Raw genomic sequence first — 14892 nt, 5'->3', positions numbered from 1 at the left:
GAGACAGAGTCTCGCTCTGTTGCCAAGGCTGGAGTGCAGTGGCGCCATCTTGGCTCACTGCAACCTCCACCTCCCGGGTTCAAGCAATTCTCCTGCCTCAGCCTCCCAAGTAGCTGGGATTACGGGTGTGCGCCACCACGCCCAGCTAATTTTTGTATTTTAGTACAGATGGGGTTTCGCCATTTTGGCCAGGCTAGTCTTGAACCCCTGGCCTCAACTGAGCCGCCCGCCTCGACCTCCCAAAGTACTGAGATTACAGGCGTGAGCCACCATGCCCCGCCACGTTACATCAATTTAGAGATGTTTTTTATATTTTTCAAGTTTCACAGTAATCCTCATGATGAGAATGGTTTTTCTGAACACATCAAAATTAGAATAAAAGGATCATATGGAAGAAAAAGCAATTTATGTATCATATGGACACACAGATGTCCATATGATAAATGCCCATTTGTATGTCTTACACACATTCATATACAACTAAGATTTAGGAATATACTTCCTTAACTGGATCCCTTAACAATATTTAAAGTTAAAATCTTTTCTACCTTTAAATAAACAAACAACTCCCAGGAGCCACTCCTTCTTCCTCTTTACAACACAACCAAACTTTGGGAGAGCTGACTATGCTCACCATCTGTTTCCTCACCTCCCACGCCTCAACCCATGCCAGTCTGGCTTTCACCTCCATCACAGCATCAAAAAAGCTCAAGCTAAGGTCACCAATGACCCATCCACATCCTAAATCTCGTATATTAAACAGAGGAGCAAATCTAAGAATGGATGTTATGATCTATGTGAAGCTACATCATGTGCTGCAGCTACGTTTCCCCACCCAGCTGTGTGGATGTGGATGGGCAAGTTGCTCTCTTCCTTAGCCTTGGTCTCCCATTGCCTGCTGTACCCAAAGAAATGAATCACAATCCAGAATTAATAACAGGTCACAACTCCAGAATTAATAAGAGGGAGTTTACTGCTGATGAAGAGATATCATCAATTAGAAAAACTGATTAACTCCAGCCCAGACAACAGAAAAACCCCGTCTCTACTAAAAACAGAAAAATTAGCCAGGTGGGTGGTACGCCCCTGTAGTCCTAGCTACTTGGGAGGCTGAAATGGGAGGATCACCTGAGCCAGGGATGGAGAGGTTGCAGTGACCTGAGATCGCACCCCACCACTGCACTCCAGCCTGGGCCACAGAGCAAGATCCTGTCTCAAAAAAAAAAAAGAAAAACTGAATAACTCAAATGAAACTTATGTGTAACCAGCTCTTTACTCTCATTTCCTTCTTTCCATTAGCCCCTAATTAAAGTAAACCTAGTATATATGTAGTAAAAACCTGAAGAAAAGAGCTGTGATCTTTTTGACTCAAGGCTTTCAAACATATCTCAAAATTCAGCTATAGAAAATACAGTCTCCTGAAACTCCACTGCGGTATACTGATTGTTTTAAAAACTCTACTGAGTATTTCAAACATAACAACTTTCATATGGAGAAGCAAGAAAACATGGTAGTAATAGTTAAGATCTTGGACTATGGAGCCAGATTGCCTGTGTTTATACCCTGGTTCCATCACTTACTGAGTTACCCTGGCCAACTTAACTTCTCTGGGCCTCAGTGGGAATGATGATAATAGTGAGAACTAAATTGCATGAAAAGCCCACTTTACTGTGCCTGGAACTCAGAAATGCTTAGTACATAGGAGATATAATACAACATGTGATCTTTAAAAGTCATTCAATTTCATATGAAAATACGTATGTTTACTATTCTTTTTAAATTTTCTTGATAATGGCTGAGAATAATGACAACTAGTAATTATAGAGCACCTAGCCATTACTTAGCACTTTTGTGTGAGGGTCTCACCCTGCTGTCTCGGCTGGAGTGCAATGGCATGATCTCAACTCACTGCAACCTCCATTTCCTAGGTTCAAGTCATCCTCCCACCTCAGCCTCCCAAGTAGCCGGGACTACAGGCATGCACTACCACACCCAGCTAATTTTTATATATTTTTTTAGAGATGGGGTTTTGCCATGTTGCACAGGCTGGTCTCAAACTCCTGGGCTCATGCAATCTGCCCACCTTGGCCTCCTAAAGCGCTGGAATTACAGGCATGAACCACAGTGCCCAGCCATAGATAAATTTTTCCATATCGAATTTTAAATAGATTATCCTATTAAGCCTCCAAACTTCATATAGTTTAAGAGCAGAAACATAACTTAAAGATACATGATGGGAGAAGATGAGTCTTAAATAAGACAATTATAAAAGGGAGGTTTAAGAATGTAATTATATTCTCCAACAGAGGGCTGAAAGGTTGAAGATTATTAATATATATCAAAGTTTCATAACAAGGTAAAGAGCAACAGTATCCTTGGGGCGATGAATACTCTCACAGGCTGTCTTGATTTCTCCAGATAAAGGTTGGAAGGGCACTATCCCCTACTTGGGCAGTCCCTATTTATGCTTTTGGTGTATAGTGCGGACGAATCATTGAGATTACTCCAAATCTGCTCCATCATGATTATCACAATTTTTACAAAGGACAACCCCTGTCTTCATTGAGTTTAGGAAGTTAATACTCCAACACAGCCTTTCAATCACGTAATTACATTCTTATTTACTGCATCTACAAACCAAATAGAGCAGTAAGTCATTCCTGAACGAGGAACTAAGGTTAAGAACATCAAACCAGAGTAATTACAGCTGCTGTGGTTTGTCACAGCTTAAAATAATAATAATAAAAAAGTAATAGCAAGCATTTACTGAGCACCTACTACATGCCAAGTTTTTTGCACATGTCAATTAACTTAATCTTTACAATAATCCTATAAGGAAGTAACTTGTCCAAGATCACAAACGTAGCAAGTGGAAGGCAGGAGGTTTGAACACAGAAGTCTAGGGTCCCAAAGAATACACTCCTAGCTAACATCTACACTATACAGTCCCTGCAGCCCTGATCCTCTCCCCTAATATGCTACAGCTGGTGGAATCATATCACAGAAGCTGTTTCCTGTAAATGCTCTCTATCATCCAAGCATTTCAACTTTGAGCCGTCATTTACAGTTCCTCTTATCACAATTAACAACAATCTATACATGGTAATCTCTAAAATACCACATAGCTGCTCCTTATACACTGGCTCGTTTCAGCCTTTTTTTTTTTTTTTTTTTTTGAGACAGAGTCTTGTTTTGTCGCCCAGGCTGGAGTGCAGTGGCGCAATCTCAGCTCACTGCAAGCTCCACCTCCTGGGTTCACGCCATTCTCCTGCCTCAGCCTCCCGAGTAGGTGGGACTACAGGTGCCCGCCACAGCGCCCAGCTAATTTTTTTTGTTATTTTTAGTAGAGGCGGGGTTTCACCGTGTTAGCCAGGATGGTTTCGATCTCCTGACCTCGTGATCTGCCTGCCTCAGCCTCCTAAAGTGCTGGGATTACAGGCGTGAGCCACCGCACCTGGCCCCAAATTTCTCTTCTTAAATGGGACTACTGGACACAAGACTGGGCCTTGAGAGACAGAGAGAAATATCACCAGGCATTCTGCTATGTGTTCTACTCTAAGTAAAAGCAGTCATTTCTATTTAACAGCAATGACACACAATTATTCTCTTAAAAAAGATGGTCACTTAACAATATGCATACGTTCCCTTATGACAGTTCCTATTATGCCATTGGCACAACCCCAATTTGTGATTCATATAACCTGTAGTCAAATTACTTCCTATCTAGGCCATTTTTTACAATTCACTACTAAAAACTGAAAACATGCATTCCACTACTTGTGTTAGGAAAACTTGAACTTCTGAACAAAGATACGATCCGAAAATATCTATTAAATTCTCAGCGTTAATGGCCCTTCATGACCCAGATGAAAATTTTATAAGTAGGTTCCAATAATATGATGCACACTTTGGTGAAAATTTTATGTTAAGAAGTTTTCTGAAGAAAAAATAAAAACTCTTCTGCCAAATAACTATTCTGAAACCTCCACAACAATATCGAGAAGATAGAGTCCAGGCAGATTTCAACGTGGAGTTATAAATACCAGGCTCTTGCCTAACAAACTGCTTTGCAGTGCTTATCCCACATTGCTGATAAAATACCCAACAGCCTTGGTTATTGGAAGAGAAAAGCTTTAAAAATCTACATCTCAGTAAATTCCTTCCACTGATCCTGAATTTCACGGACTAGCAACTGTTTCCAGATTATCTAGACTACCACCTCTGCATCAATAGTTGGCCCCTGAGGGAGTCTCAGGGCCCTCTGAAAATCTGATGAAAGCCAGGGACCTTCTTTCCAGGGAAGTGCAAAGTTCACCAGCCTATTTCTAAATGCCAAAAGAACACTACTCTATACTTTGTAGCAAATGAAAGGAGAAAGGTGATAACAATCTCAAACTATGTGACTAAAAATCAAACTTTCCATTTGCTCATTTTGTTAGGAAAAACAGGCCTTTACAGATTCCAAACCAAAGACGTTGGGGCAGTGAATTAGCTTGAAAACAGCTCTGGTCAAATGCATGGATTCTCCCACCAAGAACTCTCTTCTGAAACTCCATATGGTGGATAGTTCTTGCCTTTCAGTATTCAGCTCAAGTGTCACCCTCTTGGAAAAGATTACTTTCCTGACCACCTGATTACTTTTCCTCTTGGAAAAGATTACTTTCCTGACCATGGAAAGCAGTCCTCAAGCCCTCTTTATCACATCTTGCTGTTTTATTTTCAAAATAGTATTTATCAGTATTCCAAAATACCTCACCTATTTTCTTAATTAATTATTTTGTCTCCTCTATTCGAGTATAAGCTCCATAGGGGTAAGGACCATGTCCGTCTTGTTCCCCACTGAATTCTCAGTACCTGGTATGCAGTGGGCACTTGATAAATATTTGTTAAATGATTAAAACTGAAAGATAGGATAGTGATTTTGCTATCAATTATCAAGCCTTTAACTATTAGTTAGAATTCTCCCTCTTTCCATAATCTGAGGGTCCATTCAATCAGCAAATATTTATCGAGCACCTACTGTGCGCCAGGCACTGTTGCAAGCGCAAGGGATACAGCAATGAATAAGTCAGACAAGTATCTTCGCGCTGAAGACCTTGTATTTTAGTGGACTGCTAGGAATAAGCAGATGTCTTGCTCACTACAATGCCTGGGAGATCCAGAACACCTTCTACAATCCTTCCTTGAGGGAAAGAGCTATGGGAGATCCCCAAACCAAAGGAAAACATTCTCCAACGGGCACTTCCAAAACAAGAATCAGGGGTTTCCCTAAACCAGTTGGACGGCTCTTCCTACATGCTCTGTTCACCTAGGGGAACCCCAATCAGCAGAGCTCAGGTAACGAAAAAACTTGGGGCAAGGGCTACTGTTTCTAGGACTTGGAGGTGGTGAGGGGAGGAACCAGGAAACAGGGCGACAAGGAATCGTGGCAAAAGCCCTGAGCTGGAACCCTGAGGAACAAGCTCTGGTTGTCACCAACTTGCTAGGTGACCTTGGGCCAGTCCCGAGCTGCCCGGGCAACACTTCCTCCGGGGGTATAATGAGGAGGAGGCCGGAAGGGTGGAATTCGGGATCGGGGGGAAGCGGAGGCCAGGAGGCCGGGCCAAGGCCGAGTAGGATAGGGCAACGGCCGACGTGCTGAGGCCAGCGCGGGGCAGGGCGGGAGCGGCTCACCCACCGAGCGCCACCTGGCAGGCCCTGCGCAGCTGGGAGTGCTGGGGCCGCTTCACCTCCTTGTCGGCTAGGATCTTCTCCAGGGCCCGGGACACGAACATGCTCTTGGTCTGGCTCTCCTGCATGGCCCCGGCCCGGCGGGGGCTGACGGCCCCGCGGGCGGGCGGCGTGAGCGAGATGGCGAGCTAGGCTGCGGGCCCGGCGTCCCGGCCGGCACCGGCCGCGTCCGTCCGCGCCGCCCCGTCAGGAAGCGACACCTCGGCCCCACGGCGCCGCCATGTTGGAGCGCGTCACGTGACCACGTGACTGGCGAGGCCGCTACGGCCGCCTAGCGTCCGTCGGCCCCGTGACCCCCAGCGGGGCGGAGCCTAAGGCTGGGGGCGGAGCGGAGTCAGGTGGGCGAGAGACAGAAGGCGAGGGTGGAGGGTGGAAGAAGAGAAGGTGGGGAGGGGAGTGGGCATGGGCGAAGGGTATAGGGGACGCGGGGGCTAAAGAAAGGCGAAAGCGGGGAGAGGTGGTGATGGAGATGAGAGGAGAGAAGCGCAAGGTAACGGGAGGTGAAGGGGAGCACGAGAATGGAGATGACGTGGGTAAGAGAGGAGATGAGGAAAGGAAGGGGAACGAGAGGATTGGCAAAAAAGAACGGTGACAAGGAGAGATGATAAAGGGGCAGGAGGAGAAGGCGAGTAGGAAAGAAAAGAGGTGAGGGAGCGAGGACTGGAAGCTGGTGAATGAATGAGAAGTGATCGGGAGTAAGGGGCGTCAGGAGGAAGGAGGAAGGGCGATGAGAAGGCGGCGGCGGAGGGGAAGGGGGGAGGCCCGGCGCGGCGGCTCACGCCTCTAATCCCAGCGCTTCCGGAGGCCAAGGCGGGAGCATCGCTTGAGCCCAGGAGTTCGAGACCAGCCTGGGCAACATAGGGAGACCCTTTCTCTACAAAATAAAAAGTAAAACAGCCGGGCCTGGTGGCGCTGCTTGTGGTCCCAGCTACTGGGGAGGCTGAGGTGGGAGGATCGCTTGAGCCTCGGAGGTTGAGGCCGCAGTGAGCTGTGATGGCACCACTGCACTCCAGCCTGGGCCACAGAAGGAGACCCTGTCTCAAAAAACAAACAAACAAAAAGGAGGTGAGTTAGTTATGGAGGAGATGAGGTGGTGTGGGAAGAGGTGAGAGGGAGGCACAGAGGTAAAAGAAAAAGGAGAAAGACAGGAGGGAGAGGGGAAGTGAAAAGGAAAGAGAGGTAGAAATGAGAGGAGGGGAAAGAGTAGGAGAAAGGGTGAAGGGAGAGGAGGTAGGAAGGGGAGCTGTCAGGAAGAACAGAAAAGAAAGAAAAAGATGAGAGTAACAAGTTAGGAAAACAGGAAAGAGATGGAAAAAGGAATGGTGTAGGAAGGAGGTGAAGGGGAAGGAGGTGAGGAAGAGTGGAAAGAACATGCTGGGAGAATAGGAAATGGAAGGGGTGGAGGGAGAGGGGAGGTGAAAGGAAGACAGAGAGGGAGAGAGAGAAGGTGTGTTTATGTCTATTCTCCACAAGCAGGGTTTCACCACAGCCACTGGCAAGATACACACATCCATATGACCCTCCTGTCACAGCAGCAGTGACCTTGCAGTTCAGTGAACTTCTGTTTATTGAGTGTCGCAGCTGTGCATAGTATACCAGGAAGCACTGACCTCTCTCTGTAGTTTATCCTGTTATAAACCTGTGAACCCTCACAGTGCAGTGAACTGGACCTGGGCTTTGGGAGTCAGGGGAAGAAACCCAGATGGCCAGTGTCACACAGCCTGCAAATGAGTGCTGGGGGACAGATACTCTGGCCCCAAGGCAGCTTCCACTCCATTCCACAATGATGCTATCACAGCAACCATTAGTGGTGTCCCCTGGGCCCCTTCCCCCAAGGGCAGCCATGGGCTTATGCAAAGACAGTTGTCTTCCTTGGAAACCTCAGAGGCACAGACATCCCAGGCAGGCATGCTCCAGTGCTCGGGTCTTAGCTCAGACGTCTCTGGGAAGCCTTCCCTGACCTGTCTCAAGTAGCCCCCTCTCTCCCTAGCTGATGTTTTCCACAGCACTTTCTGAGCTTTTGTACGTGTTGACTATTTGTTGTCTCACTAAAGCACGGTTGCAGAGGGGCAGGCCATATCCCCAGGGCCCGGTCTACAGTCACGTTGAATATTTCATGGCCTTAAATTCTGCAAGTTCCACTGCTTGTAATGCGATTTCGCAGTCACTCCCAGCAAGAGGTAGAGTTTGTTTCTCCACCAGCCTGAACCTAGACTAGCCTTGTGGCTGGTCTTGACCAATAGAATGTGACAGAAAAGAGGCTGCACAAGTCCCAGAGCATCAACAGCCCTGGCTCACTTCTTCCTTTACTGCCTGGGAATGCTGAATGACACTCAGAAGCAGCCCTGGGCAGGTCAGTGGCTCATGCCTGTAATTCCAACACTGGGAGGCTGAAGTAGGAGGATCACTTGAGCCCAGGAGTTCGAGACCAGCCTGGGCAACATATCAAGACCCTGATGCTACAAAAAATTTAAAAAATTATCCAGGAATAGTGATGCCTGCCTGTAGTCCCAGCTACTTGGAGGGCTGAGGTGGGAAGATTGCTTGAGCCCAGGAGGTGGAGGCTGTAGTGAGCCGTGACTGCCCCTCTGCCCTCCAGCCTGGGAGACAGAGCAAGACTCTGTCTCAAACAACAACAACAATAATAACAACAAAATGGTAGCAGCCCCAGAAGAAAGAGCACGTGGATAGGGAGCCCAGTCATTGCAGCTCTCCCAGCCGACCCACCAGCTGAATACAGCAGCACAAGTGACTAGTGAGACCAGCAGAAAAACTGCCCAGCTGAGCCACAGAATAGCAGAAAACAAAAAATCATTACTTTATGCCACTACATTCTGGGGTCTTGCTTGTTACACAGCAATAGATCACTGAGACACACCTCAATCCTTATGTGTTGAATGAATGAATGAATGAATGAAATTCTCTAGAGTACAGTGCAGTCTGCTGAGTAACATGTTTTGATCCCACCCCACTCCCCCCAACACACACACACAGCAAGGCCAGACTATGTCACTCCCCTGCCGAAAATCCAACAGAGGCTCCCTATTGCCCTTGGAATTGAGTCCAAGTTCAGTATCATACTGTGGCCAACAAGGTGTGATAGAGGCCCTGCCATTTTCTCTGAGCTCATCTCCTTCCTGCTTTTCTTCAGGACTCTGGCCACTCTGGGCTCCTTTTTGTTCCCATCAAGGGCTTGTCTTACATTTTTCTGTCCCTCTTAATCAGTGCTTCTCCATGAAGGCAGTACCACCCCCAGACGCATTTTGAAATTTTGTTGGGGGGATATTTCTGTTGTCGTAATAGAGGGAACAGGAATGCTAGATAACATCCTGCAGAGAGCTGAACAATCCTATGTAACAAACAATTCAATGTATGCCACATGGCCAGACACTCCTGGAGATGAAAAACTTATTGATAATGATCTGAGCCTAGAATCTAAATCTGCTTTACATATAAAATGTTTTTTGCTGTAGTTTTTTTGTTTGTTTGTTTGTTTGTTTTGAGATGGAGTCTCGCACTGTCGCCTAGGCTGAAGTGCAGTGGTGTGATCTCCACTCACTGCAACCTCTGCCTCCCAGGTTCAAGCGATTCTCCTGCCTCAGCCTCCTGAGTAGCTGGGATTACAGGCACCCGCCACCACGCCTGGCTAATTTTATTTGTATTTTTAGTAGAGACGAGGTTTCACTATGTTGGCCAGGCTGGTCTCCAACTCCTGACCTCAAGTGATCTGCCCGCCTTGGCCTCCCAAAGTGCTGGGATTACAGGCGTGAGCCACCATGCCCGGCCCTTGTGTAGATTTAATATCACCACATTTTCCAGAAATGCAAATATCATTGCAATTCAAGGGAAATATATATGTATATGTATATGTATATGTATATATACATATGTATTTTGAGACAAGGTTTCACTCCATCACCCAGGCTGGAGTGCAGTGGTGTGATCGAAGCATGCAACACCATGCCCAGCTAATTTGAAAAAATATTTTTGTAGAGATGGGGGTCTCCCTATGTTGTCCCTGCTGGTCTGGAACTTCTGGCTGAAGCGATCCTCCCACCTTTGCCTCCCAAAGTGCTGGGATTACAGATGTGTGCCACCATGCCTGGCTAATTTTACAATTTTTTTTTTTGAGGCAGAGTCTCACTCTGTTGCCCAGGCTGGAGTGCAGTGGTGTGATCATGGCTCACTGCAGCCTCCACCTCTTGGGCTCAAATGATCCTCCAAATTCAGCCTCCAGAGTAGCTGGGACTACAGGTGTGTGCCACCGTACCTGACTAATTGTTAAATATTTTTGTGGAGATAGGGTCTCCCTGTGTTGCCCAGGTTGGTCTCAAACTCCTGGTCTCAAGCGATCCTCCTACCTCCACCTTCCAAAGTGCTGGGATTACAGGAGTAAGCCAGCACACCTGGCCAGAAAAATGTATTTTGTCTGGAACTTTACCAAATATCATTTACCACTTCAAAGCCACATTGCTGTCATTTACACCAGCTATGGTATCTGATTTGCTGCTAGGGCACTCCAATCAGCCTGCACATATGGCTGTGGCAATTCCAGGGGATCCCACTTTTAGGTTCCAGCATCCGCCTGCTTCATTACACCTTCTAGTGTAATTGTATCTGAGCATTTATCTATTGAAATAAAATTTGCAAATTATACATTGCATTCCTTTTGTTTCACCTTCGTAGTCTTATTAAAACTGTGTGTGGGAAGATTTTATTACCTATGAATTTCATTTCAGAACAGCTAACAAAGGCCTTGCAGTTATAAAAGGGGGTGTGTAGTATCTGCTAGGGTTGGAAAGCACTGATGGCTGCCCCCTTCCCACCACTCTGCCCTCAACTCAATGTCACCCACAAGGTCACCAACCTCCCAGTTTTATCCCTCCTACCTCCACTACTTGCTTCCATATCATCTTTTGTTAGTTGCACTGAACTGAATTTTAAATGATGGTGTTTATTTATCTGTATATTAGTTATCTGTTGCTGCATGATAAATGACCTGACACTTAGCAGCTTAAAAGCAAACATTTCTTATCTCACAGTTTCTGTGGGTCAGGAATTTGGGAGCAGCATGGGTGTTTCTGGATCAGGATCTGTTGAGATTGCTGTTGAGCTGTCATCTGGGGCTGCAGTCAGATGAGGCTCAACTGGGGCTGGAGGATCAACTTCCAAAGAGGCTCCCTCTCATGGGACAGAGGCCTCAGTTCCACTCCTCTCGGTAGAGCTGCTTGCATGTGCTCATGCTGTGGTATCTCCTGTTTCCCAGAGTGAGTGACCCAAGAGAAAATGAGAGGAAGAGAGAGAGAGAGGGAGAAAAAGGGAAAGAGACTGAAGGAAGCAGAAGCAATTTTTGTTTGTTTGTTTTTTGAGATGGAGTCTTGCTCTGTCGCCCAGACTGGAGTGCAGTGGCACCATCTTGGCTCACTGCAACCTACTCATCCCAGGTTCAAGTGATTCTCCTGCCTCAGCCTCCCAAGTAGCTGAGACTACAGGCTTGCACCCCCACACCCAGCTAATTTTTGCATTTTTGGTAAAGATGGGGTTTCACCATGTTGACCAGGATGGTCTCAATCTCTTGACCTCGTGATCCACCCGCCTTGGCCTCCCAAAGTGCTGGGATTACAGGCATGAACCACCGCGCCCAGCCAGCAGAAGCAATTTTTATCACCAGTTCCAAAGTGGCCCACCATGCAGTCTGACCAGGAGTGCTGTTTTGGTGACTCAAATACCATGGTAGGCATAAATATGGGTGATGTGGTCTTAAAATGGTGAACAGTATTTGGTAAAGTTCCAGACAGAATGCAATTTTCCTTTACACATAGTCGTGTGAGAAGTGAGTGGCTAAGTCCAGCTCACACTCAAGGGGAGAATTATTAGGCTCCATCTTTAAAGGAAAGTTGGGTTTCCACAATGTGTTTGCTCACTTATCATCATGCCTTCCACAGGCAGAATGTGAATTCCATGAAGGCAGAGACATTGTCTTTTTCGTAGCTCTATGCCCAGAACACATAGTAGACGCTTAATAACTATTTGTGGAATGAATGAATGAATGGAACTGGCTTGAGTAGAGTTTACGGATTTAATATTAAATCAGCAGTTATTTGGAGGACCACTTGTTTCTATATGGTAGGCACAATAGTGGTCTTTAAAGATACCACAGTTGCTGGCTCACGCCTGTAATCCCAGCACTTTGGGAGGCCGAGGCAGGTGGATCACGAGGTCAGGAGATCAAGACCATCCTGGCTAACATGGTGAAACCCCCTCTACTAAAAATACAAAAACAAAATTAGCCAGGCTTGGTGGTGGGCGCCTGTAGTCCCTGCTACTTGGGAGGCTGAGGCAGGAGAATGGCATGAACCCAGGAGGTGGAGCTTGCAGTGAGCCAAGATCACTCCACTGCACTCCACCCTGGGTGACAGAGTGAGACTCTGTATCAAAAAAAAAAAAAAAAAAAAAAAAGATGCCACAGTTGCAGGCAAAACATCCCTATTCCAGCAAGAAAGATGAAGGGACAGTGTCAGGATCCATTTTCCTCTTCTTTCTTAAAAATAGAAACTTTGTCTGGGACTGGTGGCTCATGCCTGTAATCCCAGCACTTTGGGAGGCTGAGGCGGGTGGATCACCAGAGGTCAGGGATTCGAGACCAGCCTGGCTAACATGGCGAGACTCTGTCGCTACTAAAAATACAAAAATTAGCTGGGCGTGGTGGTGCGCACCTGTAGTCCCAGCTACTTGGGAGGCTGGGGCAGGATAATCACTTGAACCTGGGAGGTAGAGGTCGCAGCAAGCCAAGATTGTGCCACTGCATTCCAGCCTGGGCAACAGAGCAAGACTCTGTCTAAAAAAAAAAAAAAAGAAAGAAACTTCAGACTTCAGTTGGGCTCAGTGACTCACACCTGTAATCCCAGCACTTTGAGAGGCTGAGGCAGGAGGATTACTTGAGCCAGGAGTTTGAGACCAGATGGGAACATGGTGAGACTGCCATCCCCACAAAAAATAAAAAAAATAGCTGGGTGTGGTGGCATGCACCTGTGGTTCCAGCTACTCGGGAGGCTGAGACAGGAGGATTGCTTGAGCCTCAGGAGGTTGAGGCTACAGTGAGCCATGATCATGCTACTGCCCTCCAGCCTGGGTGATAGAGCAAGACCCTGTCTCTAAAAAAACAAAAAAAAAGAAAAAGAAAAAGAAAAGAACCTTCAAATTTTAGCCGGGTACATGGCCACCTGGATTAAGGACCACATTTTTCGGCTCCTCTGGTTGTGCCCATGTGACTAAATTCTGGCAGATTGGATGCAATTTACAGGAAGTGCCTTTCTTCTACTCTTCCTTGGTTCTGTTGACTGGAATGCAGACTTTATGGCTAGAGTTCTGGCAGCAATTTTATTTATTTATTTATTTTTTGAGACTGAGTCTTGCTCTGTCACCCAGGCTGGAGTGGAGTGGTGCGATCTCAGCTCACTGCAACCTCCCCCTCCCGGGTTCAAGTGATTCTCCTGTCTCAGCCTCCTGAGTAGCTGGGACTACAGGCGCATGCCACCACACCCAGCTAAGTTTTTGTATTTTTTTTTTTAAGTAGAGATGGGGTTTCACCACGTTAGCCAGGATGGTCTCCATCTCCTGACCTCGTGATCTGCCCGCCTCAGCCTCCGAAAGTGCTGGGATTACAGGTATGAGCCACTGCACCTGGTCAGCAATTTTTTTTAAAACTGTGCCCTCCTGTAGGTGCTTCTCTCCCTAGCCTTGCCTGGGGAAGGAACTCTGGCTAGGCCCCTGTCCACGCTGGGCTGTTCCCCTTCTATCTTCCCCAGTCTAGGAGGTGGTCTCTGGGTCTGCCCCCTTTCTGCCTCTTCTTCTGTTTTCCTACTGCAGGCATCTTGTGGCCATATCTGTGTTTGTCCATCTCTCCTTTATTCTTTCTCTATTTGTCCCTATTTCTCTGTCTGTCCCCATTTTTGTGTCCCTGTGGTCTTATGTCTCGCTTTCCCTCTCACTGTTCTCTCTCTCTCTTTCAGTTATGGTGGCCAGATTTAGAAAATAAAAATACAGGATGTTCAGTTACATCTGAACTTCAGATAAACAACAAATACTTTTTTTAGTAAAAGAGGGTCCCATGCAATAATTGGGATGTGGTTATACTAAAAAGTATTCACTGTTTACCAGAAATTCGAATCTAGCTGGGCATATTGTGTTTTGTCTAGCAATCCTACTCCCAGTGCCCCTCTGTCCAGCAGCTGTGCTAGACTACTAGACAATTTTTAAAAAAATTTTTAAGGCAAAGTCTTGCTCTGACTGTCAGGCTGGAGTGCAGTGATGTGATCATAGCTCACTGCAGCCTCGAACTCCCGAGCTTAGGCAATCCTCCCACCTCAGCCTCCTGAGTGGCTGGGACTGCAGGTAAGCACTACCACACTGGCTAGTTTTTAAATTTTTTTGTTGGGACTGAGTTTCACCATGTTGACCAGGCTGGTCTGAAACTCCTGACCTCAAGTGATCTGCCCGCCTCAGCCTCCCAAAGTGCTGAGATTACAGGAGTAAGCCACCACACCCGGCCTGAAATGTGTATTTTCCATGTGTACTTTAAGACAAAACTCAAATACAACCCCCTCAATTCTGAGGTCAGGGCTAGGAGGGGTATTCGAGGCAGAAGCATCATTTGGCTGGGCCTCATATGAAGGAGGAGCCTCAAATATAGACTTTTGGAATTCTCTACAAAGGAGACAGCATGTGTGTGTGTATGTATAATATAGCTGCATTGTGTGTACATGTGTGTTTTATGTATTTATTTATTTACGTATGTGTGTATTTTGAGACAGAGTCTTGCTCTGTCGCCCAAGCTGGAGTGCAGTGGCGCTATCTTGGCTAACTGCAACCTCCACCTCCCTGGTTCAAGCAATTCCCCTGCCTCAGCCTCCCGAGTAGCTGGGATTACAGGTGCCCGCCACCACACCTGGTTGATTTTTTTGTATTTTTAGTAGAGACTGGTTGCGAACTCCTGACCTCAGGGAATCTACCAGCATGTAATTTATAATGTAAATTATATTCTGCTTATTTGTGTTCTTTGTGTCCAGCTGCACTAAAAAAATGTGAATTTCTTCAATGTAAATATGTAACACACCGCAGTTGTGTGGTTTAAGTTGTGGGGTTTATTTTTGTCCCTGTGTC

The 14892-nt window shown here is 46.5% G+C and overlaps 1 protein-coding gene across 3 annotated transcripts in view, besides 4 other annotated features; it reads right to left on the bottom strand.

Moving 5' to 3' along the window:
• ARFGEF2 (ARF guanine nucleotide exchange factor 2) overlaps positions 1-5977 on the bottom strand; it is a 114983-nt gene extending 109006 nt beyond the window's left edge. For all 3 annotated transcript variants that reach the window (NM_006420.3, NM_001410846.1, XM_047439832.1), the window contains exon 1: positions 5678-5977. In NM_006420.3, the coding sequence (NP_006411.2) occupies positions 5678-5798 (121 nt within the window). In that variant the 5' untranslated portion in view covers positions 5799-5977. The remainder of the gene's footprint in view (positions 1-5677) is intronic.
• Positions 5267-5346: an enhancer, noted in NCBI's record as "active region_18052". NCBI's record gives its function as "activates an Ori minimal core promoter by ATAC-STARR-seq in GM12878 lymphoblastoid cells {active_cell/tissue: GM12878}" and the evidence as "EXISTENCE:reporter gene assay evidence [ECO:0000049][PMID:35858748]".
• Positions 5717-5766: a silencer, noted in NCBI's record as "silent region_12992". NCBI's record gives its function as "represses an Ori minimal core promoter by ATAC-STARR-seq in GM12878 lymphoblastoid cells {active_cell/tissue: GM12878}" and the evidence as "EXISTENCE:reporter gene assay evidence [ECO:0000049][PMID:35858748]".
• Positions 5807-5906: a silencer, noted in NCBI's record as "silent region_12991". NCBI's record gives its function as "represses an Ori minimal core promoter by ATAC-STARR-seq in GM12878 lymphoblastoid cells {active_cell/tissue: GM12878}" and the evidence as "EXISTENCE:reporter gene assay evidence [ECO:0000049][PMID:35858748]".
• Positions 6137-6216: a silencer, noted in NCBI's record as "silent region_12990". NCBI's record gives its function as "represses an Ori minimal core promoter by ATAC-STARR-seq in GM12878 lymphoblastoid cells {active_cell/tissue: GM12878}" and the evidence as "EXISTENCE:reporter gene assay evidence [ECO:0000049][PMID:35858748]".

The sequence above is a fragment of the Homo sapiens genome, chromosome 20 (assembly GCF_000001405.40).
Source record: "Homo sapiens chromosome 20, GRCh38.p14 Primary Assembly".
Lineage (NCBI taxonomy): Eukaryota > Metazoa > Chordata > Mammalia > Primates > Hominidae > Homo > Homo sapiens.
Note: the sequence above shows the minus strand (reverse complement) of the source record. Positions and strands in the feature narration are given on the sequence as shown.